Source organism: Homo sapiens, chromosome 2 (genome assembly GCF_000001405.40).
Source record: "Homo sapiens chromosome 2, GRCh38.p14 Primary Assembly".
NCBI lineage: Eukaryota > Metazoa > Chordata > Mammalia > Primates > Hominidae > Homo > Homo sapiens.
In genome coordinates this window covers 69,141,865-69,169,069 of record NC_000002.12, presented here as the reverse complement: position 1 = coordinate 69,169,069, position 27,205 = coordinate 69,141,865, and the positions used below count along the sequence as shown (strand labels likewise).

At 44.6% G+C, this 27,205-nt stretch overlaps 1 protein-coding gene across 4 annotated transcripts in view; it reads right to left on the bottom strand.

The window, feature by feature from the left end:
* Positions 1-27,205, bottom strand: part of ANTXR1 (ANTXR cell adhesion molecule 1) — a 236,184-nt gene that overhangs the window by 80,258 nt on the left and 128,721 nt on the right. For 2 of the 4 annotated variants that reach the window (NM_053034.2, NM_032208.3), the window contains exon 13: positions 16,806-16,901. In NM_053034.2, the coding sequence (NP_444262.1) occupies positions 16,806-16,901 (96 nt within the window). Of the gene's footprint in view, positions 1-16,805; positions 16,902-22,704; positions 23,745-24,675; positions 24,786-27,205 lie in introns of those variants that run through there. The other 2 variants (NM_018153.3, XM_017005077.3) reach the window with 2 other exon arrangements.

The following is a 27,205-nucleotide window of genomic DNA, read 5'->3' as shown; positions in this document are numbered from 1 at the left end:
TCTGGGACCTTGTTAGGGCTCCAATCCCCACGCTGTTACCCACCCTACCATTATTGATAACGTCATCTCTGCATGAGGAGGCAGGCTTCCCACTGCAGGTTCTGTTAACCTTAGCCAATGGCCCAAGACTCCAGTCCTCTGAAAGTATGGTATTCCATTAATTGAAGAGGCAGAAGTGAAGGCCTCCAGGGGTTTCAAACTCTCATTTCATCTGCCTCCACTTCCTGGCTGCTGTGAGACGCCTGGTGAAAGTCTCTGGAAAATGCAAAGCCATGATTGTGCTCACCCACTCAACCCTGGCTCAGAGTTCCTTAAGGAAATCTCTGGGGAGGATCGCTCCTGTCCAGGACTGATTTCCCATCATCCCAGAAGCAGTAAATTACTTTACAGCAGGAAATGTCTGGAAACTGGAGGGAGGGGTGAGGATCTGGGGACCAAGATCTGGAATGCATCTGTTCTCCTGGGGCAGGGGTAGGGAAGGGAGTGAGAGGGGGAACAGGATGTTTGGGAAGAGACAGATGTTGAGAGGGCAGCATATGTGGCAAGGCCCCTGGGTGTGAAGAGGTTTGGTGCTGAGCAGAGGGCTTTTGTCTCCACGGTGCTATGAGCTAAGCACAGCATAGATGTTATATGTGAATTCCAGACCTGCCTTCTCCTGACTGTCAGGATTTGATGAGTCCCTTAACCTGTCTGATCTCCACTGTCCTCATTTGTTAAATGAAGTAATAACATGAACCTTGCAGAAACTGAGTCATCATGAGCGATCATGTGTGTTAAGCATCTGGTAGTGAGTAGGTGCTCAATAGATGCTGCATGCTATTAATACTCTCCTTTCCCTTTCTTGTTGTATTTGTCTCTTACCTTGATTACATCTTTCATACCCCCCCTGCATATACTAAATGCCTTTGCATGGTGGCTTCCAGACAGAGATGCCAAGGGGCCAGCATTTCATGAACTGAGTGAGACAGGAGGCTGGTGTTCTGACAGTGGCCAAGGGTTTTGGGGGAGTCAGTAGCAGTATGCCTGGCCACATGTGTGTCAGCATATGACACTGGCTGGGGAATGCAGTTCTAGGTGGCCCAACACTCAGACCAACCCATCAATGCGGTTGCTATTTAATTTAATGTATTAAGTATTAATTGAATATCTATTCTACATCCTGCAATGTGCCAGACCCTAAGGAACCCAAAACACAATGCTAAAATCCATGATTTATTAAATATTGATAAAGAGGGGCTGGTTTATGATCCAGATTTCACATTGACGCACTGTAAGTTGGGCACCTGAGCTTCTGGAAAAAATGCCACTCTGTTCAGGTAAACAGGAATTAAGCACCTCCAACCTGGTCTCACTGGTTCGGCTTCTGGTTATGTTCAGCAGGAATGGGCAGGAAGTCTTCTCATTGCTTCAAGCCCATGCACCGAAAGCTTGCCCCTGGGGAGCAGGGTGCAGCTCACCACAGGATGGCAGGACAGCTTTTAAAAGTATGATCTAGACAGGCTAAGCTTGGAGTCAGGGATGAGAATTCCAAGCAGTAAAGTTGGATAGGCTGTCCGTGAGTGGGCCAAATCCTTGTGCCAAGACCAGCACATGGGCCACCCAAAGGAGTGCTCTGAGCACAGAGACATGTCAGCTTTCTCAGCCCACCCCACTCCCCTCAGGGCCAGAGTCTGTGTTGCCTGGAGGAGCAGCTTGGGCAAAAGCCTGCATTGCTCTGTAGCCTGCGGCACCATGGCAACACGGCCACACACAGAGTAGCCTTAAAAATAGATATCTCCGTGGTTGCTTCAGTACTTAAAACCAGTGCACCCCTGCTAATGGCTTCCCATGGCTTATAGGATATAATGCAAACTGCCCCCATGTCCCACAGGTTCCACATGATGTGGCCTTACTTCCCTCCCACTGTGTCTCTCTCCTTCACTTTCTGCACTCCAGTCTCCTGGGCACCTTCTTGTTCCTTCCACATGCTCTGCTGCTTCTCAAGTGCAGTATCTTCTGCCCAAATGCTCGCTACCTCCTCCACGCTCAGTCCACAGCCCTGCACATTCCCCAGTGAACACCTACTTATCAAACAGATCTCCAGTAAATGCACCTCCCCTGGGAATCTCACAGAAAGGACAAGGTTCTCTTTGTGGGCTCCCATCATGTTTGTTTTCTGTAGCACTTTGAATTGTAATTGAAAGGCAAATTGCATAATTATTTGTTTCCAACCAGCATGACTAGAAATCCTCTGTTTCCAACTAGAATGCAAGCTAGAATCAGCTTCCAAGCTCAGGCTTGGTTTGGCCCACTCTCCTTTTTCTCAGGTTATGTGAGCATCCTCCTGGTTATGGGTGGGCTCTTTGGCGCCTTCCTCATTAGGAGGGACAAAGAAGATGGATAGGGTTGAAGGGTCGTTAATAAAATATTTTAATGGAAAATAATAAACATAAGCATAACATGGAAGAACTGGATGGTAGTATGGGAGTAAATCTGAGAACATTTTTCACATTTCTACTCTGCAGGCTAGTACCACTTCCCCACTTACTACCACCTTTAGACTGGGTATTTTAGAGAAGCAGAAAGTGACCATTTGCCTCCTTGGGATAGCTGCCCTAGAGTCCCTTTTGCACTAAGAGATGGGCTGGTGAGGTAAAGGGGACGGGAAAAATGAGATGGAATATGGAACTCCTGAATTCTATTGGTATTTCTCTGATACCTGAGAATTTCTTGAAACTGCTGTGTGTTGGGAGATGCATCTCCTCTCCTCTCTTACCAGTGACTTTAATTCTGACTTTATCCGTCTCTGTTCAGGCTGACATGAGGTAGGGTCAGATTTGATGACGATCATTGCATAGATAAAGGAAAGTCAGAAAAGACCAGGTAGAATCTGATCAAATTGAAATGTTACTGACAAATTCTCATTGAGTCAAACAAATTCCAGTTTTTATGTGCACTCCTGAGTTTGGCTGTTGGAAATAGTAATGATGGAAGATGTGGAGATGCAGTCAGCATAGTACGAATAGAGTAGAAAGATTGCGTGTTCTCAGGGCCTGTTTCATGCCTGGGAAGTTGAACTATTTTGGTTTTATGAATTAAGTTCAACCATTTGGGTCTCTGTAAAGCGCTCTCTAATAATTCATTTTATTTTTTTATAAATGGCTTTATAAATTGATTTTAGAAATTGTTAAAGTGAGATAAAGCACCTGATGAGTTTATTTTGCTTTTCTTTTTTCTCTAGCAGTATTGAAGTTTGATTCTTAATGTGTAGGCTTTGATCCTTGCCGTTGTGTTTGTCACTTGCTAACTCTACTGTTACAGTCTTGTGCAGTGGAAGAAAGGATGCTGTCATTCTAGTTCTCAACATGGGCACCTTTCCCACCTACCAGATGACGGCTGCACAGGCTCACTAGACGTTCCGTTTGAAGCCGCGAGTCAGGCCCACATGCTGCTTTAGCAGCAAAAGAATGCCAGGCCTAGTGATTCCTTGTGGTCCCCTGTTTTGCCTCTGTCACCTTGTTGAGAAATCCTCCACCACAACTTCACATCTCCCCTCCTCATCTTTCTTGTCTCCTCACTCTGTGACTGGGACTGGTTAATAGGATAAGCTGTATAGACAGGCTCATTGTTGACAAATGCTCATCTCATGGCATGAGAAATGGAACAAAACAGGGGACTCGTTTTTGGCCCCTTTCTTCTTAAGTTGTATTTTTGTGTCTCCGTGTCCTTTTTGCATGAGCTGAATGCAGGGCACTTCCTGCAAGTCCTCTCTGCCGAAGGGCTGGTCTCTTGCTGCAAAGGAGACACTTCCTTGACACACAGGCATCTCTGCTGTTTAGACAAAGTCCAAGAGAGCTGCTTCAGATAACTCCTTTATTAACGAAATGAAGCATTTGTCCTCTAATTTTAATTAGCTCAGTGGTTTCAAACTTTATTGAGTATCAGAATCACCTGGAGGGCTTCTTAAAACACAGCTTTCTGGGGTACACCCCTGAGTTCCTCATTAGTGGGTTTGGGGAGGGGCACTTGCATTTCTGACAAAGTACCTGCTGGTCTAGGGACCACACTTTGAGAACTGTGAATTAGCTTATTTCCTGGAGCCCCATACCTCTGTCAGATATGCAGGGGCTATGTTTAGCTTCAAGTCAGACATTCCCATGAGTGTTCTGTTGAGACTTGCTTATAGCTGATTAGAAAGACCAGCTTTGAAGCTGTTTCATTCTAAAAATTTTGGTGTCCCCGCTCCATTGTCAGGAACTCTGGGCTCTCCACTGCCTCCCGTCCTGTGTTGGGGAAGACATAGAACTATTTCTGGAGTAAATTTTCAGCTCTGCATGCAGGTACTCCTTGGCTTCCACTGATGTGAATTTGTGGTCATCTGCATACAAGGCTGGCACGGCCTGGATTTCTAGATCCAGCCCTGAAACAATCCCAGCCAGATGGCTCCCTGGGAATTAGGGACATGGATCTTATCTCTCTCTGTCTGCACTGTTAGCAACAAACTCACTGAACTGTGTTTATTCCTCTGTCTTCCGCACTGGACTGTAAGCTCTTGAAGACATGGGCATACTTATCTCCTGACACACAGCTTAGTGTTTGTTACTCGGCCACTATTTCTGGAATAAATGAGTGTGTGTTCCTGAAAAGGGAGGGATAAAGGAAGCATTTCTGATTATAATAAACTTCCTTGCCTCTCAAATAAGCACTTAATACATGTTACAAGATTCAATTCTGGTCTCTTAACCCTCCATATAAATGTTTCTTCAGTAGTTAAGATGCTGAAAGTCCCAACTGCCAAGAGTGGGCTGTGATGCTTGGATGCATTGCGTCATGGGAATCTAATCAGAGTCACGGGTTGGCCTTACGGTTAATTGTGCCATCTTATTAGATACCACCTATACCCCCTTTCATCCCCTAACCCAGGCTTCCATGTAAATTCACTTGCCCTGTGATTATAGACTCCATTTTCCAGTTTTGTATCCGAAATTCATTTCTAAGAAGACTTTCTGAAAATTTGAAAACTACACGCACAGTCTGTTTTGTTCCAACACAGATATGTAACTTGTGACTGTTCATATGTGGTAGTTAAACAGGGCATTAAAATCACTAAACTGCAAAACTGTGCCAGCTCAAAATATGATTTTTGCAAGGTAAAGGAGAAGGTAATGTACATTTTTCGTCTTTTGTTCTTCATAGTCAACTTCATATAACATTAACCATTACACATTTAAAAGTGTGAGGTGACAGTATTCGGCGCCACTGAGTAACATCAGGTGAATGTGAAAATGCTGCCCAGCCACCAGTAGTGACCTGGGGAGGAATATGCAGAAACCAGGCATACCTCATTTGCTTTCTCACTTAGGTGTGTCCTTGTGCAAGTCCAGCATGTATGGCGCTCCTGAATGCGTGTTCTTTTCCTCATTAAAAACCTTTTACATAGCACTGTCAATAGGAGCGTGTGTCCTGGTTCGAAAAATGCAGGGGTTGAATGAGGGAGGAAAGCCTTCAGCCTGTGCAGGAGATGTTTGTAAAGATATAAGAGAAGATGAGATACTGTGAGAGCAATGGGCATAAAGAAACCCAAATGAGCTTCCTCAGAGACCATGCTGAAAAACCAAAGAAAGGAGAATGGAACTCACAGGAGCCACCAGTTGCCTTAGAGGGGATTAGAGGCATGTGTGATGGAGTGAAGAAAAGGAGGTAATGCCGAGAGCAGCAGAATAGTACTTTCATGGTTTTCAGTCTTATTTGGAACCACGCAAATTGCTTTTTTTTTTACATGAAAAGAGGAACCTGGCAACACAACAAAAGCTGAAATTCTATTTTAAGCCAGTGCAGAAGGAATAACAAGACGCTGAGTCATAGCCATCTCCCCTTGTGTTGTGACACTTTGCCCTAAGAATGTCCTTCCTTCCGTCTTGTTTCTGTAGCTCAAAGCCACGGTGCTGCATCAGACTCACGTCAACTAAGAAACTTCACCTGTTTATTTAAAAAAAATCAAGGTAAAGAGCCATATTTACTGAAGTATGTTTTATTAAGAATTTAAGGTGTTTAAAACGGTGGCATTTTTATTGAGTTTATTATTTTTTAGCGTTAGGTTGGCACAAAAGTAATTGCAGTTTTGTCATTCCTTTCAATGGCAAAAACCGCAATTACTTTTGCGCCAACCTAATATATTATTTTGTAAGATCGCACAGTTTTGAATGTTCTGCTCTGAACCCATTTCCCCCATTAGTCCTATTATTTTCATGGGCCAAAATTCCATAATGCAGTCATATCTTCAGGAACACATTTCATGTTACAGGAGAAATGGTGATACACAGAGAATTTTCAGTGTATCTGCTATTTAACAATTATTGTTAACTTTGGACAGAGCAAAGGGAATAGTGCTGACAGGGACTGACTTCCTCATCCTTTCTCTGGTCTTTTGTGCTTTCCATGTGTATCATAAAATCCCAAGGGCCCAAGTAATAAATAATATTCCTTGGGTTTTTGGTAATTTGGGATTGTGAGCTCATGTGTAGTAGGCATTTACCTATGGAAATTCTATGAGGCCTGGGTTGAGGGACGAACCTGCCAGAGGTTTCAGGTTTCCTCTTGCAGATCCCTAAGCATTTCCAAACTTTTTCTCAGCTTCCAATTTACAAAACCTCAAGTAGTGTAAGTTTGAACTCTAGACCTCTCAGAGGTTATGAATTCTTAGGGACACAAACATACACACCCACATCAAACCCATAGCCCATCTTTCACTCAAGGCTTTAGGCAGCTTTAGGCAGAAGACTCAATTTCAACTCCCAAACTTTTATGGGCCCATGAAAGGCTATTAAGCCAAACATCTAGGTTACTGAGATAAGAAAATCTCAGGCAGGAAGCCACTGCTTTAGGGTCAGATGACCATCTGATTTCCAGATCCTGCTTTATTTGGGCCCTGGAAACATCTCCTATTTTCTCATGAGCCTGGCTATGCATTTAAGGCAACTTCTATTCTATTTTTTCCAGGAATTTTTGTTTTTCTTTTGCTGTGGAGTCTGCTGCATTGTCAGTCAATAGTAATGGATTTTTTTTTTTCCACAAATGATGACTTCCTGCACGCTCAGAGGTTAGCTCAAATAAATGTGCCTGTATTTAGATGACAAAGGTCTTTTTTGAAGCCTTTGATTTAAAGCACTGTATGTCCTGGGGGACTTCTGGGTTGATCTCTTAAAGCCGGCTCAACTGCTGCCCCCCTGGCCTTTTAAATTCTGCATGAGAAGCCACCAGAACAGAGTTATGTATAGAAGAAATGCCAATCCAGATCTGAAAAGCCATCTAATAAGGGCTTTAATGTCACAGCTAGAAGGAGATGCTTGCTCTGACCCTTTTTACATTCTAGCCTTCCATTCTGGCTCCCAAACCTTGTAAGTATTCTTTTAATTGAAGTCAAGAAATCAAGGGAAAGTAGGCAACTTGATATGGAAAACATCCAGGAGAGATGAGATGCTAGTTGATGGAGGATAAAGGAATCTTTCCACTGTATAGACAGCATCAATTGAATAGAGACCTCATGACTGATTGGGGTGGGTTAATGCTGGCCAAGGACTGCCTGAATCCAGTAATTTTACACTGTAAAAGTTTAGCAAAGGATGGTACCAAGGGTGTTAATTTGGAATGTGGTACCAGAAATTTTCAAAGAAATGAGGTCAACTTTTTTTCCCTCCAATTTGGAACTCAGATTTCAAATGATTTTTGGTCTCTCATCTCATCTCCCTTAAGACTGAGACTATTTAAAAGGCCCAATTCATCACTGTCTAAAGTGAGAGTTGCAGCAGGAGCTTTACCATTAGTCCACAGGGCCTAAGGGACTCACATGGTAATGTGAGAGAATGGCTGTGCATGGTCTCCATCAGATGGTATGCCAGTGTCACTGCAAAAGTCTGTGAAGTGAAACAGCAAAATAAATCCATGATTTCAGATTCCCTGAGGCTTGAAGGAGCAGCCTCTGGCCTCTGCCTGGGTTACGGGAAAGCCGATTTTTAGACACTAGTAGTGTCAGTGGGATCTGAGCAGGGCACAGAAGGAACAAGGGTGAGTTGATGATGTTCACAAGATGTTCAAGCTTGTTGATATTGATACAGCCTCCAGGGAGGGCACAAAAGAGGCTGCATCTTAGGATCCAGGAACCTGCTCTTTTAGCTGCTTCAGCGTTCTCTAGGACTGTGTTTCCCAAATAGTATTTGGCAGAATACTGGTGTCCTTCCAGATGTCAGTATGTTAATAAGTGTTTGGGAGAGTACAGGTAGTGACAGGCCAAGGAAGAGTTCTAGGGTCAAAATAAATTTGAAGAGTCACATGCAAATTATCCTATTAATGACTCTGAGAAGTCCTGCAGTAAAGGCAGTGATTCAACTTAGTTTAAGGATGTCTTTAAAACTCACTGTCTAAATACCTCTTGTTCTGAAGTGCCCCTATTCATACTTGCAGGGTATGATTGCCCTGACATAGTTTGGAAATGCTGCCCCTGAGTACTTGTATCATATAAAAACTCCTCAGATGGTTTCAGTATGCAACCAGGTTTGAAAACCACAGACCAGGGAATCTTGAAAGGGAGAAGCAGATTCACTCAAAGAAGGTACGAATATGAGGAAGCAGCCTTAGAGACAATATGGTTCCAATTTTCTAGTTTTTCACACGGGGGAAATTAAGGTTAAAGGATTGGACTAATCCTTTAACCAGAAGAGGAAGATGCGGCATTGAAACCCAGTCGACTTTGACAACAACTCGCCTCTTTCCATTTCACCGGCAGGCATAAGCATGGGGGTTGGGGGTTATCAGGCAGCCCACAAAGGATGAGGGAAGCCAGAGATGAGAAAAAAATGGGTGTGTGAGGTGTGTGGTGTACCTGCCCTCCAGAGGTGAGGGCAGGTCATGGCAGAGCTCTGTGTGCTAACGAGAAATAATCTTGTCAGCTGTAGCCTGAGGCGTGTCCATATGGGAATGGGTGGAGGCTGGAACAGGATCAAGAAGGCACAATCAGTATTAGGCCCAAGATGCCTGCATCAGAAGTTGCCTGTCCCAGTTGTGTTTTTATTAAACTGTCAGTAAATCCTTTTGGTGATGTTAGGCTTGGGTTGTCTGGCCCTACAAATTAAATGTTATTCTTAACGGTGCGAAGAACATTATTTTAATGCTTTATTTTTATTTCCACTTAAGGTATATCAAGTTTTTGATTAATTTTTGCCCTTTGCAATTTGTCATTGGAGATGTCCAGTGGGCTTATTTGTTGAACTATCCTTGAAATTCAATTAAATGAATTAAAAGTGATCTGTTACGTAATTCTTTAAAAGCTGTTCATAAGATACCTATAAGGCCACTGAAAACAAGACAGGGAGAACAATTTTGTTTATATAGGAAAAAATTCTGAATGCATGGACATGAGCCTCTCCCAAAATACTGAAAAAAAATTGTTGTTATATGAACAGAAATACAGTGATTTGATTTGACCTAAATAGTGTGGTGTTTTAACTAGTTGGATTGCAGAAAAATTGCAGCTTTAAAAGCAGGATTTTTTTTTTCTTTTTAATTGTGGTTAAAAGAACTTAATATAAAACTTATTATCTTAATTATTTTTAAGTGTACAGTTTAGTAGTGTTACATATATTCACATAATTATGCAACTAATTTCCGGAACTTTATTTTTTTAAATAGTGATGCTGTCTCACCATGTTGCCTAGGCTAGTCTCAGACTCTAGGGCTCAAGTGATCCTCCTGCCTCGGCTCTTCCAAAGTGTTGGGATTATAGGTGCGAGTCACTGTGCCCTGCTCAGAACTTTTTCATTTTGCAAAATATGCTAAGATCTTTTCACTTGGGGTTTCTCATATACCATTAACCTCTCAATAAAATGGGCCTATTTCTAGGATTTTATTTAAGAAACTGATTTGAATGTCCTTGTTATATAATATTAGATACATATAAAATATTGCATATAACATACATGTAAGTCATGAAATAGGATAATACAAACCCCCATGACACAACCACTCATTACAGTTCCATAGGTCTGTGGGCTCCTTCTGCATCGAACACTCTTCCCCTAGGAAGACTTAGGTTTTTAGTTTGATTTGGAAAATACACAAATTATAATATGTACTAGGCACTGTACCATATTTTGGGATTAGTTTCTGTGACTAGTTTCTCCTCGCCATGGAGGAGTTCATGGTACAGATTCTCCTCGATGTATGATGGGACTATGTCCAGATTAAACCCATTGTAAGCTGAACATGTCATAAGTTGAACATGCATTTAATATAGCTAACCTAGTGAACGTCATGGCTTAGCCTAGCCAACCTTAAATGTGCTCACAGAACACTGACATCAGTCTAAACTTCGGCAAAATAGATAACACAAAGCCTATTTTATAATCAAGTATTGACTATCTCATGTAATTTATTGAATACTATACTGAAAGTGAAAAACAGAATGGTTGTATGGGTACTTGAAGTATGCTTTCTATTGAATGCACACAGCTTTCATACCATTACAAAGTCGAAAAATTCTAAGTTGAACCACCATAAGTTGGGGACTGTCTGTACAGTGAGAGATATATACATAAATACTTGTGATAGAATGAGCAAATGCTCTAAAACAGGTGTGAGAAAAACGCCATGGAAACCAAGTGAGATAGCAGCTGATCCTCCCCAGGTGAGGAAAAGGTGTGCAGGATGCTACTGAAATGGACTGAACAACAAGCTGGACTTTGAAGGAAGAATTGTATAGAGAACATAAAGAAGGTGAAACTATTTCAGCAAGAGGAAATAATATGAGCAAAAAGATCATGATAAGGAAGTACCTGATATGTTTAATGAGCCCCAAAGAGTAGAGTGTGCCCACAGTTGGTCCTCCATCCACTTGGCTGCTAATGAACTTTGAGATACACTGAGCAGCAGCTTTGAGCCAGGCACTGTATTATGCTCTGGGGACCTACAGCCTTGGCTTCCAACAGCTTCAGCTTAACAGAGGAAGACAGACAAGCAAACAGGCAATTTTCACAGCATGATCAGTGCTATGAAAGAAGCAGGCACAGGTGCTAAGGGAGACCCTGCACAGGAGGGGAAGGTAAGAGGTGAGGCTGGAGAAGTGGGGCCAGGATGGAAAAGCCCTACTCATGCCATCTCAAGGGACGGGAACTCTGTTTTACGGCCGCTGAACACTCAAGAGAATTCTAGGCAGGGTAGTGAGTAGGCTCATCACCTGGCTGCCTTTTTTAAAAATGAAAAGTCTCTTTAATGAAGGTGAGAAAGACTAAAAGAGCAGTTAGGAAATTGCTGAAATAATTCAGGTGGGAGATGCGGAATCCTAGAGTAAGACAATGGTATCCATTCATTCATTCCACAAATATTTCTTAAGCAACTACTGAGTGACAGACACTGTGACTGTGCTGGAGTAGAAGGTGTGAACAGATGTGAGATAAGATGAGGTGTGGGAAAGGATGTGCTGTAGGCAGCTCCAAAGTGAGATAAGACAAGGAGGGACAGAAGAAGACATCAGCGGTTGCTCTGCAGTCCCTAGTCTGGGCAGCCTGGAGAACAATGGCACATCCATTGATGAAGAGCAGGTTTAGGGGGTAACGTGAAGAGTTCAGTGGGGGGTATGTTGAGGGTGAGATGCCTGCATTTGAGATGTCCATTGGTCCCTTTAATGTGGGCTGGTCCTCTGGAGCCAAGGCCAGTGATGGGTAAACACATTAAGTAGTTGAAGTTGTGGGAGCTGGTGACACTGACCAGGAACAATGTGTTAGAGAAGAGGGTGGAAGGCAACCCTGGAGAACAATTGGCAAGCAGAGGAAAGAGAGCCCATGAGGGAGACAGGGAGAAACTGCACAGAGACGTAGGAGAAGAGCCAGCAGACACCAGTGGAGGAGACAGTTTAAAGGAGAGAGAGGTCGACAGTGCCTACTGCTGAAAGAGGTAAAGAAGAATGAGAAGTGAATGGAGACCACTGGCTGGGAAATTCAGTTTTGCAAGCGAAGGATTGGAGAAATAATGGCAATGGTGCTCAGGGTGCAGTGGGAGGAAGAGGGAAGGAGAGGAATTGTGGACAGTGGATGCTCCGCAAAGGAGTGTGTGGGTGAAAGGAAGGTAAGGAGAAGAGAGTAGCATGAAGGAGAAATAAGGCATGAGATTAACATGGGTTGGATCCGTGTTCCCACGCAAATCTCACGTCGAGTTGTGATCCCCAATGTTGGAGGAGGGGCCTAGTGGGAGGTGATTGGCTGATTGCAGCCATCAGTCATCACCTGATCCATCAAGTGATTGGATCATGGCGGTGGGGTTTCTCGTGAATGGCTTAGCATCATCCCTTTGGTGCTGTTCTTGTGATAGTGAGTTTTCCTGAGATCCGGTTGTTGAAAAGTGTGTGGCACCTCCCACCTCGTTCTTCTCTTCCTCCTGCTCCCACCATGTGAGATGCCTCGCTCCCCCTCTGCCATCAGCCATGACTGGAACCTTCCTGAGGCCTCCCCAGAGGCAGAAGCTAGTATGCTTCCTGTACAGCCTGCAGAACTGTGAGCCAATTGAACCTCTTTTCTTTATAAATTACCCAGTCTCAGGTATATGTCTTTGTAGTAGTGTGAGGACAGATTAACATAGACACATTTTTTAAAGGATGAAGGTGGCTGGCGTATGTTTGTAGGCAGAGGGAGGAAGCCAGTGGAAAGGAAAGGAGGAAGATGCTGGGTGAGAAAGGAAGAAACGAAGAACTTCTGTGGAAAGGGAGGGAGAGGGATGCTGGAGGAGGATGCACATATGAGGGTGCTGGAGTGCAAGGATTTCTGACAGCACAGCTTCTGTTTTCTCACGGAGATAGAACAGCAGGTTGTCTGCTGAATATGAGACAGCCAGAGGTAGTACAGGGAACTTCAGAGAAACGGTTGCAGTTTGGGAGGAGTTCTTATCCATAGAGGTAAGTTAGCAGTTTGCTAAAGTATGAGTGCTGAAGCCCTCATAAATGTGCAGTGGCCCCATCAGCAAGCTGGGCTGCTCTCTTCTGAGGTGACTGATATCTTGGGAGCGGGAGGGGAGAACACACACCACCGGGAAGGTGTAGGTATAGGGACAGAGGGGAGATCGGGAATTGGGGTGTTTATCAGAGTGTCAACATGGAGTCATGAAACTGAGAGCCCCAACAGGGATTTCTTCGATACTCCAGATTTCTCATTTGGGGCAGCCAGTCCCCATTGCTAATCGGAATCCTCCAGTGTCTTGCTACCTGCTGAAATTTAGGCAGGATACGATGGCCTTTCTCTGTATACATAAAGCCACCCCCTACCTGGGCTGCAGGCTCCCATCAGGGCATTGGCTCTTGGCTGGGGTGAGGGGAGACTCTCAGGGATACCTGCATTTTCTACAACTTTTTAGTGCCCTAATGTCACTGATTCATTGATGACTTTCCCCCCTACACATTCAAGCCATTCATAACATTTACTCGTCTAATACATTGCAACTTTTTTTAAAAAAATGATCCTTTTCTGTTTTAGATTTCCTAGTCTTCCTCTTTTTAAAGTTCAATTTTGAGATTTCAATAATATCGGACCAAACTTATGAGTAGCTGGAGTGGGCATGGCGTGACTTGAAGGGTTCTGGAAATGTCCCTTGTGGAACTGAGGCAGGACTTTATTATTATTATTATTTGGGAAAATATTAACCCCTTGAATTACCTATTTGAAAATGCGAATAAGCCCAGTGTGCATAGTCCAATACCTCTCTCCCCTTCAAGGTGGGTGTTTTGTGCCAATGAATAGGTATAGGAATCTTAAAAGCCAGAGGTCCACCTGGCGATACTGAGGAACAAGCTGGGAAACACTAAAGGTTTGATTCAGGATATGGTCAGTTTTCTCTCTCCCCATCAGTCATTACTGGTAGATTACATCTGGCAGGCTGGCAACAAGTTAATTCAGGTTCCATTTGGCTGGAAGTTAAGAGCCCAAATGGGGGAGTGGGGTCCTTAGGGAAAGGCCAAGTGCAGTGGGTAGGCATCATCTGTCACCCTCACCCATCAGGTTTCTTCTTCCAGACAGGACCAGCAGGAAGCAGGAGGATGCTGAGCAGAGGCAGGCCTGATAGCAGCCCCTGTGCCTGGTCTGCTCATCCTGGCCAGTACATCTAAAACTGGCCTTTGTAGCTAGTAACTGGGCCTGCTCTCCTACCCAGCCACCCTGCAGGACTTCATCCCCCACCCCTTCACATACCCAGCCACTGTGGGTTAATGTGTGGCTCAGCGGGGGTGGGGGCCTTGCAGGTTGTTAAATATTTTGAGTATCACTCCTAAAGAAAAGATTGCAGCAGGAAGGAGAAGGCACACGGCAGACACGTACCCCACGTTTTTTAGGTCTTTTCTGCTTTCTGGCTTTTCCTCCAGCACGGAGATGCGGCTCTGCTAGTAGGTTGAGGGGCATTCCCCACCCTTGGGGTAGATGCAGGAAGAGTGACAGAGGAAGGTTTGAGGACCATTGTTTACAAGAATGCCCTCTATTAATCTGGGGACTGTGGTGAGGGGTGCTGTATCTCGGGAGAGAAACTTCCCTGTGTCCTCTGAATGAAACTCTGATGGGAGGCCCATGTTTGCCTTCATTCCTGAGTATACTGTTTAGGAAACATATGACCTTAATCTGCCCTGCTCTGGAGCATCACCCCTCATCAAGGAAGCAAGTGATCAGCAAGTAGTTTTAGGGGGCAGACCAAGCACTGGAGCCCAAGCCAGCTTTCAGAAAGAGTGAGAGGAGGCAGCTTAAATAGACATCATAAACAGGAAAATGAATCCCGAAGATCAACCCTCATAAAGAAATCCTTCACGACTTACAAAGTCAGACCACATTAAGACATTTTGGCTGCCTTCCAAAGCAACAGGGACTTAACCAGATAAATTCATTGAAAAATATTTTGAATATTGCAAAACTCAATTTGGCCTTGGGTGACATTGCTTCCAATAACAAAAGGTTTATTTTGAGAAACATTTCCAAAGAATATAAACTGAATGCCATCCAGTATCATAATAGATTCCTATTACAGTAAAATACTTTTAAATAATAATAATATACAGCAGTTACTATGTGTTAGGTGCTTTCTAAGCACATATATATACACTCCTTTATAGTCTTCACCATCTAACGATGAGGTGGGAGCTCTTATTGTCCTCATTATACCAATGAGGAAACTGAGAGAGAGGTGAAGAAACTTGCCCAAGGTCACACAGCCAGTATTTGGTGGAGCACTGCTTGGCTGTTCTAATGTTCCTAGCTGTCCTCACCCAGAGGTAACTGTAAATAATCAAAGGAACTATAATAGTGTTCACTGCCTGCTGCTACCAGGCCTGCCGACTCTTCTTTAAGAACCCACTGTAAGGTTTTTCTTTTCTTTTTCTAGACTTGAAAATGTGCTTGTTTTTGAATCTCCATAGAAAGCACTTGGGCTGACTCATGAGGATTTTTTACCCTCAAAATAAAATGGTTTTGCAGCCTTAAATGTTTAAAACAACATTTAACTCTTGGAGCTGCTCTGGTAAGAATCTGTTTAAAATCTTGGTGAAGTCCAGCCCAGCCTGCAGGGTCCTAATTAACCCAAGACTTGTGCCTGTCCTGGGTCTCTCCTTCCATACTTGTCTGCTGCAAGTCAACCCTTTCCAGAAGTCCCTGCCATATGGTCCACATCCTGGTTGAGCTTCCCATCTCACTCATTTGCCACCTCTTTAACATGTCATCCGAAGCCATTTCCCCTTGCTTTTCAAGTCCAGTGCTCTGTCTCTCTGTGGTCTTGGTTCAGTTGAGCTGTACACACAGATGTGAACTCCCTCACACTGTGTGCTAAATGCTGAAGTTTCAGAGGGAAAATGAAGATGAGTCCCTGTCCTGGAGAGGCTCACTGTCTATTGTGCCTTGCCGGCCCTTCCATGGAAGAACTAAAATACAGGAAATGAAGATGCCATGGCAGTGGAGCAGTGGCCACTTCACATTCATGGGCTTCACAGCACACACTGATTTGTTGAAAGGCAGGGCACAGGCTAGAAATAGACATGTCACAGGGAATGTTTTTTTTTCTTTATTTGGCTATTACTTTGTTTGGACTTCTCCCAGTCTAAGGGCCAGGGAACAGAAATTGACAGCCAGACATTTACCATTTGGGATTATCGTCAGGGTGGATTATTCCAGGCCCTAAGCTATTCTGGGGAGACATTGTCATGTGATGACTCCATATGACACTGATGGGGAGGAGGCAGGTTTTTATTGATCTTGTAGCCAAAGTGCTTAGCCCAGTGCTGGTCACACAGTAGGTGTGTCCTATAAAAGTTGCCAAAATCAATGAATAAAGGTAAATGCCATTCTTCATTGTTGAAAATAAAGAGGTCAGGCCAGAGACACTTTCTCAGATAGGTAGACTAGTTACTAAGACCAGGGTGGCCTTAGAAGAGTATAGGTTGGGCAACTCAACAAATGTGTATGTGTGTATGTGTGTGTACCGTACACAGAGGCATATATGTTCATTACATGTCGAATAACACTCATCATTTGTGTTGTCCTGTGGATCTTCCCTAAGCACCAGAACTAAAGCGGCCACCCCAGTTGCCCCACCCAAGGGGCACGGCCATTGGCAATCTCACACCCTAACTCATACTGACTGCTGGTGACTCATGGTTCCATTGATCAATGTCAGTTCACATCAATTTTGTATAAATTGTATAAAAAATGCAAGATTTGTCTCCCATCTTTAGTTTTTTAAAAATCCCTTTCTCTCTACTCATGGTCTGTGAACTTTATGTCACCCTTCACCTTGCATGGCCTGAGGTTTGGGGCACTTACCACAGTGCAGCAGAGGGGCCAGAACCACCAGAGGAGAGCCAGGGCTAGGAGCAGGAACAGGATCAGCAGGGCGATGGCCAGGATGGAACCGTCAGACTGCAGGGCCAAGAGAGAGGCGGTCAGCAGCGGGATGGGACCATGTGTGATCTTCCCTCCCCAAACTCCCATCACTGATATGCAGATTTAAGGCTCAGAGAGCAGCACAGTTTGCCAAGCAAATGGTTGAAACTCTGCCCATCATTCTGGGGCTCATGGCCCTGCAACACACTCTGTTTAGCCAATTTTCAAGGGAAATGAATTTATCTTTTCAGAGAGGCCCTGTTCTTCCCTTTGAGGAACATTTTGAAAGACCAACTGCATAAGAGACAGAGCAGGCATGAACATGGACTTCCACTGCTCATCTGGCCCCCTGGAACACCATCCCCTGCCTGGTGACAGCCTCCTCACTGGGTCTGATGTCCCAGTCTCTGCCTGGGCTGACTCAGGACCATTGTACTCTGAATTCAGCCTGCTCCCCTGAACCCATTCACACAGGTGCATGTAACAGATTCATAAAGCTGTGGATGGAAAGTCTAGAGCCTGCTGATGGGATGCCTTGTAGGGTCTGTGAATCCAGGGGGTGGGGGCAGAGCAACGGCTGCTGAACCTGGGAGGCGAGGGGCTACAGTCAGATCAAGTGGCTACATGGGAATGAGGGAGGGAGGAAGGCACTGAAGACCAGTTTTACCCACCTAAAAATGTGGCGAGGCCAGTCCTAGACACAGTTTCTGTGGACTGCGATGTCTAACTTTTAGCAAACAGAGACCCCACTTGGTGTCAACATTCTGAGTTGCTGGTTCAAGGAAGCTGCTTAGGAACACGGGTCTAAGTCCCCTCCACCCTGCCTCCCTACAGCTACTGGGAGTGCAAATCAGCAAATCTTTCTAGGAGAGAGGGGGCAAATTGTGATAGGTATCAAAAGCTTCCTTCTGCATAGAACTGGCTATTCCACTTTTAGTCTAAGAAAATAATCACCACTGCACTCCAGCCTGGGCGACAGAGCGAGACTCCGTCTCAAAAAAAAAAAAAAAAAAAAAAAGAAAATAATCAGATATGTTTGTACAGATAATAATAATAATAATAATGAAAACATAAATGGTTAACAATTGGGGAAAGTTAAATAATGCATTACAGAATTACTACGCAATCGGTTACTATGTAGACATTACATTGTCAAATAATTTTATTTATTCATATTTTTTGTGACAGGGTCTCACTCTGTCACTTGGGTTGGAGTGTAGTGGTGTGATCATAGCTCACTGCAGCCTTGAACTCCTGGGCTCAAGGCATCCACCCATCTCAGCCTCCTGGGTAGCTGAGACTGCAGGTGCATGTGACCATGCCTGGCTAATTATTTTTTTTTGTTTTTTGTAGAGATGGAGTCTCACTTTGTTGTCCAGGCTTGTCTTGAACTCCTGGGCTCATGTGATTCTTCTGCCTTGGCCTCCCACTCTGCTGGGACTATAGGTGTGAGCCATTCTGCCCAGCCATATTGTCAAATAATATTTAAATGATATTTAAATAAGATGACAAAACACTCCTGGTATAATGGATTTATGTATATGTATGTCAAGAGTGAGAGAGACATAAAGACTGTCTGATATTTACTAAATTTTTAAATTTATATTTACTAAATTATTAATAGTAATTTTACTGGTAGTGGTTTTATAGTAATTTTCCTTTTAAAATCTATTTTCTTTCTTTCATAGTGAGAAAATAAACTACTGAAGTTTCCTTTAAAAAAATCTGTATCTGGGGGCTTCCCACTTTGGTGTTAGAGCTCACTGGGCCCAGGGATTCTTATCCAGGGGCAGGGGATCTATGGGGTACCCAGGTGGGCTCAATGGATGGACACTGTGACCCTCCTGAAATGACACCTGTGATGTTTAGTGCAAGTGTCTTCAGGGGAGACTGTTCACAGCACTATCAGATTCTCAAAGCTGCTCCCTCTTCTCCATTACAGGGAAGGGAGGCTGGGTGGTCTGTTCAGGGTAACACAGCAGGTGAATAGCAGAGCTGGGATGTGGCTCACTCCCACTCTGAGTGCTCAGCAGGGGCTGCTGGAAGCTGTTTAAAGGCAGCTCTTACTTGCTGAAACTCCCTGGAATGTCTCTGACCAAAAAGCCAGGGAACTAAACACCTCTGGTCCCTAGCCAGAGCTTGGGAATGCCAGACTGCCCCCAGGGGAGCTGCAGCCTCACAAGTGCCGGTGCAGGGCTGGGCAGCCCAGGGGTAGTTGGGGGAGGGAAGAGAGCACAGGGGCCAGACGATGGACATGCCATGGCCGACGGGATGCTCTGGGCTGCAACATTTATACATGGGTGATGGCAGAGAGCGATGGGCTCAGTAGTGACAGAATGAAATTACATGTTTTCTCCAAACTTAGGGCTGGCCAAGGACAACCCTCTTAATCTCTCAGTCTCTACAGCCCACATTCATAACAGGAAGATAATAAACCTCACTTGCCTCACTGCATTGACGTGGGGATAAAATGATGTAAGCTATCTTGTCAAACACTGAGCTGGAACTCGCTCTCCCTCTAGTTCTCCAGGGTAAAAAACATGGTGAGCATTTCAGATCATAAATCTATGTGCATTTGGAATAATAAGTGGTTCTGGTCAGTAAGAGGCTTACAAAACAGCAGTACTTCAATAAAGTCTACAGACTACGTTTATTCACATTATACACAATTTCCCCTCTCCCTGGTTTTATTTTTTCACTTTAGGTAGATGAACTAAAGCAGAAGGGCTGATATATTTTGGGGGAATTTTTTTACTTCCTTCTAGAGGAAGGTTTTCCGTGAAGTAGCGAGAATGAAGGACTTGGTGCAGAATGGGAGAGAGGGGGCTTCCATACTGGGAGATTTCCTGGCTTTGGATAAAGTGATAGCTGGCTTTTCTCCAGCCAAGCTTGGTGCCCCTAATGAGGAACAAACTGTCCCCCTAATGAGGCCCAGTTCCCTCTGGCTGTGGTGGAGGACAGCCGGGGGGCTCAGGAAGGGGAGAGGTGCAGGAAAGGGGGTCCTGGTGGGTGGAAATGCACAGGGGCAGACACTTCTTGAGGAACTTTATCCTCCTCTGAAGACTGCTCTGGGATAAAGCCCCCGAATGCACTGTCTGTTTTTTGAGATCTTCCAGAAGCCCCTGGATATCCAGTTTAAAAGAATGAAGGGCATGAGTTTTTGATAAACTTAGAGCTAAAGCTGATGTTTTAGAAGGAGATAACGTGTACGTGCAACCTCAGAGGTTCATTCATTTATTCATTCAGCAAACGTTTATTGAGGGTCTATTATTTCCCCATTGAGCAGAACCAGGAAATACAGGATTGATTGGCTAGTCAAGATGCTTGTGTTCTGCTGGCTGATGGGGCTTGGGCATTCGTATAAACAATTAACCACATGCAGTGGTCAACGTGTTACTCAACAGCTGTATATCCTGTACCTTTTGTGTCAGGTAGTGAACAAAATAGGCAGTCTTTATTCTTAAAGAGCTTACATTTTGGTGGAATAAGAATAATGACAATGATGGTAATAACATTGTTGTTAGCACAGCGGACATTCACTGAGCATTTACTGTGTGCCAAGCAGTGTTCTATGTACTAACATGCTTTCCTTACGCTAACTCATTTAATTCTCATTAACAATCTTGTGAATTCAATAATATTCTCTTTCTCATCTCACTAAAAATACCAAGGCAAGGAGAGATGGACAAACTTGCTGACAGCCACGTGGAGAAGCCAGAATTTAAACGTGGGCAGTTTGGTTCCATAGCTCCCAGCAGACCAGCGGGCTATTGTTCTCAGCAAGTAGCCAAGTGCTGAAGAGCCGAGTGTCTGGGAACTAGCACTTCACCGAGGAGGTGACACTCTGCAGAGCAGGGCCAAGGAGGTGTCAGCATTCCCGCACAAAAAGGCAAGCACAAGTCCCTGGGGTAGGGCAGGGGCAGTGGAGGTCCACATGCTGGGAGCACAGCATGAGTGCGGGTGGAAAGGAGGTGGGGTCCCCACTGTGGGAGGACACACAAGCCAGGCTGAGGAGTGTGGCTTCTATCCTGAGCCCAGGGGAACCCTTAGTGGCTTTAACCCAGTGACACTGGGGCATCGTGATCAGATTTGCTTCTTGGAAAGCAAATGCTGTTGACACTGGAGAGTATGGACTGGAGGAGGGAAAGATTCAGAATAGAAGACCCAGGTGGAGGACAGCTGCAATTCTGCCCAATTCTTCTGGGCAGTGTCATTTCCCGAGGTCACTCTTGAAACGCCTGCATTTTTACGGCTGTGTCCAATGCTAACTTACTTAACAACAGCTAACCACCGTGCTCAGTGCTATCTATGCATTCTCTCATTTAATTCAGTGAGCCTCGGTAAAACAGCCTTGTAGGAACTGTTACCCCCTTTTGCAGGTAAGGAAAACTGAGACTCAGTGAAGATATGTAACTCACTCAAGACCTCCACATACCACCCACAGACATATTTATTTTTATATGTTCACAATGTTAATGTTACAAAACTGGGATTTGAATCCATGTGGTCTAATTTTAGAACCTTGACCCCCAACATGCACACTTAACCATTACACTATAACTTCAGATTTATAACAATTTAGTTAAGAAATATCTATACTTTAAAGACTAAGCAGATGCAACAGAAGTTGAGACCATGTTTGCAGTTGCTCCTTCCACTCTGACAGAAGCAGTTCACTTACATGGCCCAGTGTGGATGTGCACATAGCATGGGTGAACATGGACTTCAGAGGAAAGTCAGAGAGGGAGGGGGACCATGGCAGAGGCTGTCTTCCCTTTAGATTCTTGGCTTGGAGTCTTAATCAACTACCTTGTGAAGGGGGATTAACAGCTAATGTGAGAAAGGCTCTAGTTACCTGTTGAATGTATATCAATATTAGAATAGAAGTAGATGCACATCTGCATTATTTAGTAAATAGTATTTGCTTCATTCACAAAATAGTTCGGTTATGCTAAATCAGTCCTTTTCCATCTTTACCACGTTCCAAGATGAAGACACTCAGGTGCTAAGGAACAGGCTTTGCCAGTGGCTGGGAGGCATGTAGAATGCAGCAGGGCTCACATGGCATAGCCTGACCCCCATAGAGCCTGGCTCCGCTCTGCACTGTTTTGCTCTGGGGCAGACTGCCTCGACTCCTTGGCCTCTGGCCTCCATGCTGCCCTCCTGTGCCCCTGATTCACTGTCTGTTGGCATACTCCGTGCTAACTGCCACCTGCTTCCAAGATCTCCTTCCCGGATTGCACCCCAGGAGGGTCGGGACTGCTGCTCACAGCCTAACTCGGGACTGGTGTGTGAGCTTGGCCTCTGTCCTCCCTCTTCACCAGGGGAAAGGGTGGCCAGGACAGGTGAGACCATAGGGCCACATAGATACCACTCTGGAACTAAGTGGGACCATCTGGGCCAGAGGTCCCCCTCGCGGAGTTGTGCCTGCCCAGGCCTCATCTCAGATGAGAGCTGGCAGGGTGCAAGGTAGCTTCTGAGAATGGGTGCTCCCTGACTCACAAGTTCAGACTCATTCTCCATGATCCTTCTGAGAGTCCACATTGGGCAGGGGGAATCTGGAGTGGGGACCTGCATGGACCTGACTTTATGACGCAGATGACAGCGGAAGCTGACCTGTCCAGCCCAGCAGACTCTCAGTGTTTGCTGCCCTTGGCAGTGCCACCTGCCCTTACCAGGTAGCCCCTGCATGTAGTTCACCACAAACCTTTGAAAAAGATTCCAGAGGGGGAGAAACAGCAAACAGCCACACGTGGAGTCTTACCAATGTTATTTTCTCAATAGCCTAAGTATCAACCCAAGTCCAATTCTTATTTTATTAAAAAAAATGGAAATAAAGTTTAAAAAATCAATCAACATGGCCTTTAATTTTAACAATTTTAACAGCAAGTGGTGGGGGGAGTTCTCAGATGAGCAACTGGAGCTGGAAGCACTTCTGTGGTCAAGCAGGCAGCCCATGGGGTTGCATCTTCCTGTTGGGGGATCATCCATTTTCTTCAATGAATAGTTTTAAGTCTTGTCAAATGCTCACACAGAGGCCCGCTATTAAGGAGGCAGACAGGCAACATTCAATACGAAGGCAGGACAAGCTCAGCCCCGCTCCTTCATTCGGGCATGTGTCATTAGGGATGACATTCTCTGAAGGCTGCCCGGCTTGAATGGCCAAATCCCTGCATCATGGCTTTCTTTAATTCCCTCTGCTCCCAACTCACAAAATGAGGACCTCTCTTTTAAGACGAGAAGGCACTGTTCTCAAAGGTATACATTTGGAACTTCAATAATGAAAGCATCTCTTGCTTGGCAGGTGGAATATAGGCAATTTTGGATTTTTAATGCATGGCATGGGGCGGGAGTGAAATATCTTGCCAGGGCTTGTTTGCCCTATAATGGGAGAGAACCAGGCCTCTGGATGATACGGTATCAAACACTGCTGCTCCTTTCTGTTTTCTTTTGTGGGAAAGGGAGGAGGATAGAATGGAGAGGAATTAGTGGGAGCCTGGGGGAAGTTCAAAATAAAGAAACTGTGAAATCCTCCACCTCAAAGTTGGGTCTGCACCAGGATTCTGCCTGATGCCCACCGCATGGAGTGATTATGTAGCCAATAAAGTGCCTCCAGTAAGGTCTTGAAAACTGTTGGTTAAGGAGGGAACGTTTCCTGTCCCTCCTGATGTTTCTTTCCATGTTGGGGCACTCAGTGTGCGTAACTCCAGGCCTGTCTCTGCCCTCCACTCATTCAGTAAATAAGGAAAGTGTAAACCGAGCATGTTTGGCTCCTCTCTCCCCGTTTTCAGGAGTGTGCTGTCCGGAGGGAGCAGGCGGTATTCTCTGCTATTCCATGCAAGCAGCTGTTGTGGGGCCTGATGCAATTTTGTGGAGGCTCTTTAAGAAAGAGAACATAAAAATACAAATGCAAAATTATAAGGGCTACTCCCCTGGCCTTAGAAGGGCCTAGCAGGGACCCATGCAAGTGAGGGTCCCTAAAGTTTAAGCGAATCAGCCCCCCGTAACTCTGCCTCTGGCTGTGCATCTTCCCTGGACAGGCCCCCTGCCTGCCATCAGACTGGTAAATCTATTTAACTCTGGGCTTCCGTTTCCAGCCTGTTTGCTGCCACACTCAGCCAAAATCTCCAACTCACAGTAATAAAGGCAATGCTGAGGTTTTCATGTATCATTTTTTGGCCTCATTTTTCAGTTTATTCACAATCAAGGCAGGAAAGAGGCATGCTTTATTGCCCCCACGACAGTGACCCCAATATCTCTATTTTAACTAACCCCAGGATAGGTCCGAGTAACTACAACAATTATATTTCTACAACAACAGTATGGTCAATTTCTGAAGGAAGAGGTTATCAGAAGCCTCTCTGGTGGCTGGTGGGTTTGCTGTAGTTCTACAGTCTTTGCTAGGTTGTGCAGATTCTGAGTAGCAACACTGAATCACTGAGGCCACTGAAGATACTTGGATGCTTTCACACGGTTAGACTATCTTGTAAGCATTTAACATGAAAGAATGAATTAGTAGGTTGATTCTGCCACAATGAAGAGATATTAGCTTTCTCTGCCAGAAATAGGACAGGAAAATTGCTGAGGATCCATTAGAGCTTCTTGAGAGCTGGCAAAGGTCTTTCTCTGGATTCTCCCCTCCACGGGGCACCTGGGGATGCAGCTGATGATGTGAGGCTCCCCAGAGGCCCGCCATCCACTCTCTCTCCCCCTTTCTCTGGTACAGAGTGAGGGTGCCTATGAAGCACTTTGGAGTGCCTTCAAGGGAAAGAGACCTTTAGCGGGGGCAGCTCTGTTCCACTAACCTGGTGACTTCAGTAGCAATCTGCTTGTTCTAATTACAAAGACTCAATCCTGGTGAGAGAGAAACAGCAGAGATCAAGGAACTATGTCCACTTCACTCTGCTCCAAGGAGAGACCCTGAGGGCAGAGGGAGAGGCACATCAGCCACTGGGCAGAGGGAGGCTGGAGGCCTCTGCACACCTGCCGCTGTCCCTCTGTGAGCACCAGGAAGGGATTCACAGGACTGGCGCCTTGGAGGCATCACATTCCAGGGCTCTGAGTGGAATTTAGAACCATCCCAAGCAGCTGGTCTGAGCTGTTTCCTGCCCAGACAAAACTGGCAAAGCATGGGCAATTTTTATTTTGAAAGATGAAATTTAAGCCATTTTATTACTGCTGAGCAGTTCTAGATGGGCAAGCCTAGAGATCTAAATTCTCTCTCTCCCAGAGTTTATATATTCTGTTATTTCTGGTAGGCACCTTAGGGATGATCTAACTCATCCGCCCACTCTGCCCTGCATGTTTTTGAAATTCTATTCCTCTGGCATCTGTGACTCTCCCAATCTCCCTCTTATCTCTGACCGTTCCTTTCCACTTTCCTCATGGGCTTCTTCTTGTACCTGACCTTTAAAGGTCAGCATGCCCTAGGAGGTCATCTTTTTCCTCCTCTTTAAAAATTGTGGAGATATATACACCATTTTGTTATTTTTAAATGTACAATTCAGTGGCATTAAGTACATTTATGATATTGTGCGACTGATGGATCCATTCTTGTCCATGGCCAGTTTTCTTTCTAAAACTCTCGATGGGTTGTCTCATTTCCTCCCATAGTTTAAACTCTCATCTAGATATGGATGAGTTAAGTCTTCATCTCTAGCCTAGATCTCTCCCCATTCTTCAGGGTTGTATTCAGGACCATTCAATTGTCCAGTAGGTCCTATTGATATGTCAAACTCAACCGTTCACACTGAACTCACTGTTTTCCTTTTCAAAGCTGCGTGATTTTCTCCTCTCATTTGATGGCACTACTTATCAGCCCAAGTTGAAAACTTGGAAGTCAACCTCAGGTGCCTTTTCCTCCCTCTCTTCCTTCCCCAATATGACACGTGCCATCAGTATATCCTGATCCTCTGATCTAAATACTTCTCAAATCTGCCCCTGTCTACTTCATCTCTAATACCATTGAACAGACTTAGGATCTCATTCTTTCTTTCCTGGATTATTGCAATGATCTCTTTATTGGTTTCTCCACCACCAGTATTACTGCCAGGAATTCCATCTTCTACACTGCAGTTGGAGCCACTTATGGCTCTAAACCCTAAAATGATATTCTGATAGATTTGCCTGCCCATGAACTTTTTAATAGCTCTTCATTGCCCACAGAGTTCTTAACATTTGAGAATTTTATGGAAGTGATACATCCCTTTCCTAATGAAAGTATACATTCACATTTATGCACAGGCTCACACGTTTTTTATTACCATTTCAGGGGGTCCATGAAATCCCTGGAATCTATTCGTGGACTGCTAGGTACAAGGCTTTGAGTCTTTAGCCCATACAAGCCCTCTCTTATCTCTCCAGCACCTCCCCCTCCCTCCTCACACTTTGTGCTTTGACAGAACTAAATGGCATTAGCTCCCCATACATACCTCGCTCTTCTGTCACGGTCTTCTTCTCCCTGAGACACTCTTTCTAACTATCATTGCGTGGCTAGCTGTTTTTCATCTTTCAAGTCTTTGCTCAGGTACCACCTGATTTATTCATACCTAACATATTTATTGAACACCTACCATGTGCTAGGCCCTCTCCAAGTACTGGAGAACAAGAGCATAAAATGGACACGGTTTTGCCAATCATGGCCCTTGTCATTGAGTGGGAAACAGAGACCAGTAAATACCACCACTGAACTCTGCATTTGTGCTCTTATTTTATCATAATCATAGCTCTGTCTTATCTACTTTATTTTATAGAAATTATATTATTATGTTCTTGTCTCTGCCACTGAATTAGAAGCCCCTAGAAGACACATATCTGCTTTACTCATATTTGTACCTGTGAGACATAGTACAGTGTTTCAAACACAAATTGCCACTAAATGCCCTTCAAGTGTTTAATAGAATGAGGGGAATAAGGATTTAGCAGGCTGATGCCGCCTATAGTTAGTGGGTAGCAGGAATGGCGTTGGAGCCTACGTTTCCTGTGGCTGCTCAATTCCCCTCCATGGTCTCATTCCTGTTAATGGCTGCATCAACCTCATGGCAAAGAGCTTGGGCTTTGGAGGCAGGAAAAGATGATCCAAATCCTAAACTTCTACTTACTAATATGTGGGCTTTGAGTAAGTTGCACAACCTCTTTAAGCCTTCCTTTTCTTTTTATGATGTCAAGTTATTTATACTGTTAGTAGTTAATTTAAAGACATACACTAAAACTACTCCAAGAATGGGACAAATATGTGGACTTGTAAAATTATTTTTAAGACTGACGACATGGGGGACTTCACTGGTTCTCATAACCCAGCATCTATTTGGGGGTATCAGTGGGGCCTGGAGGCAGTGAGA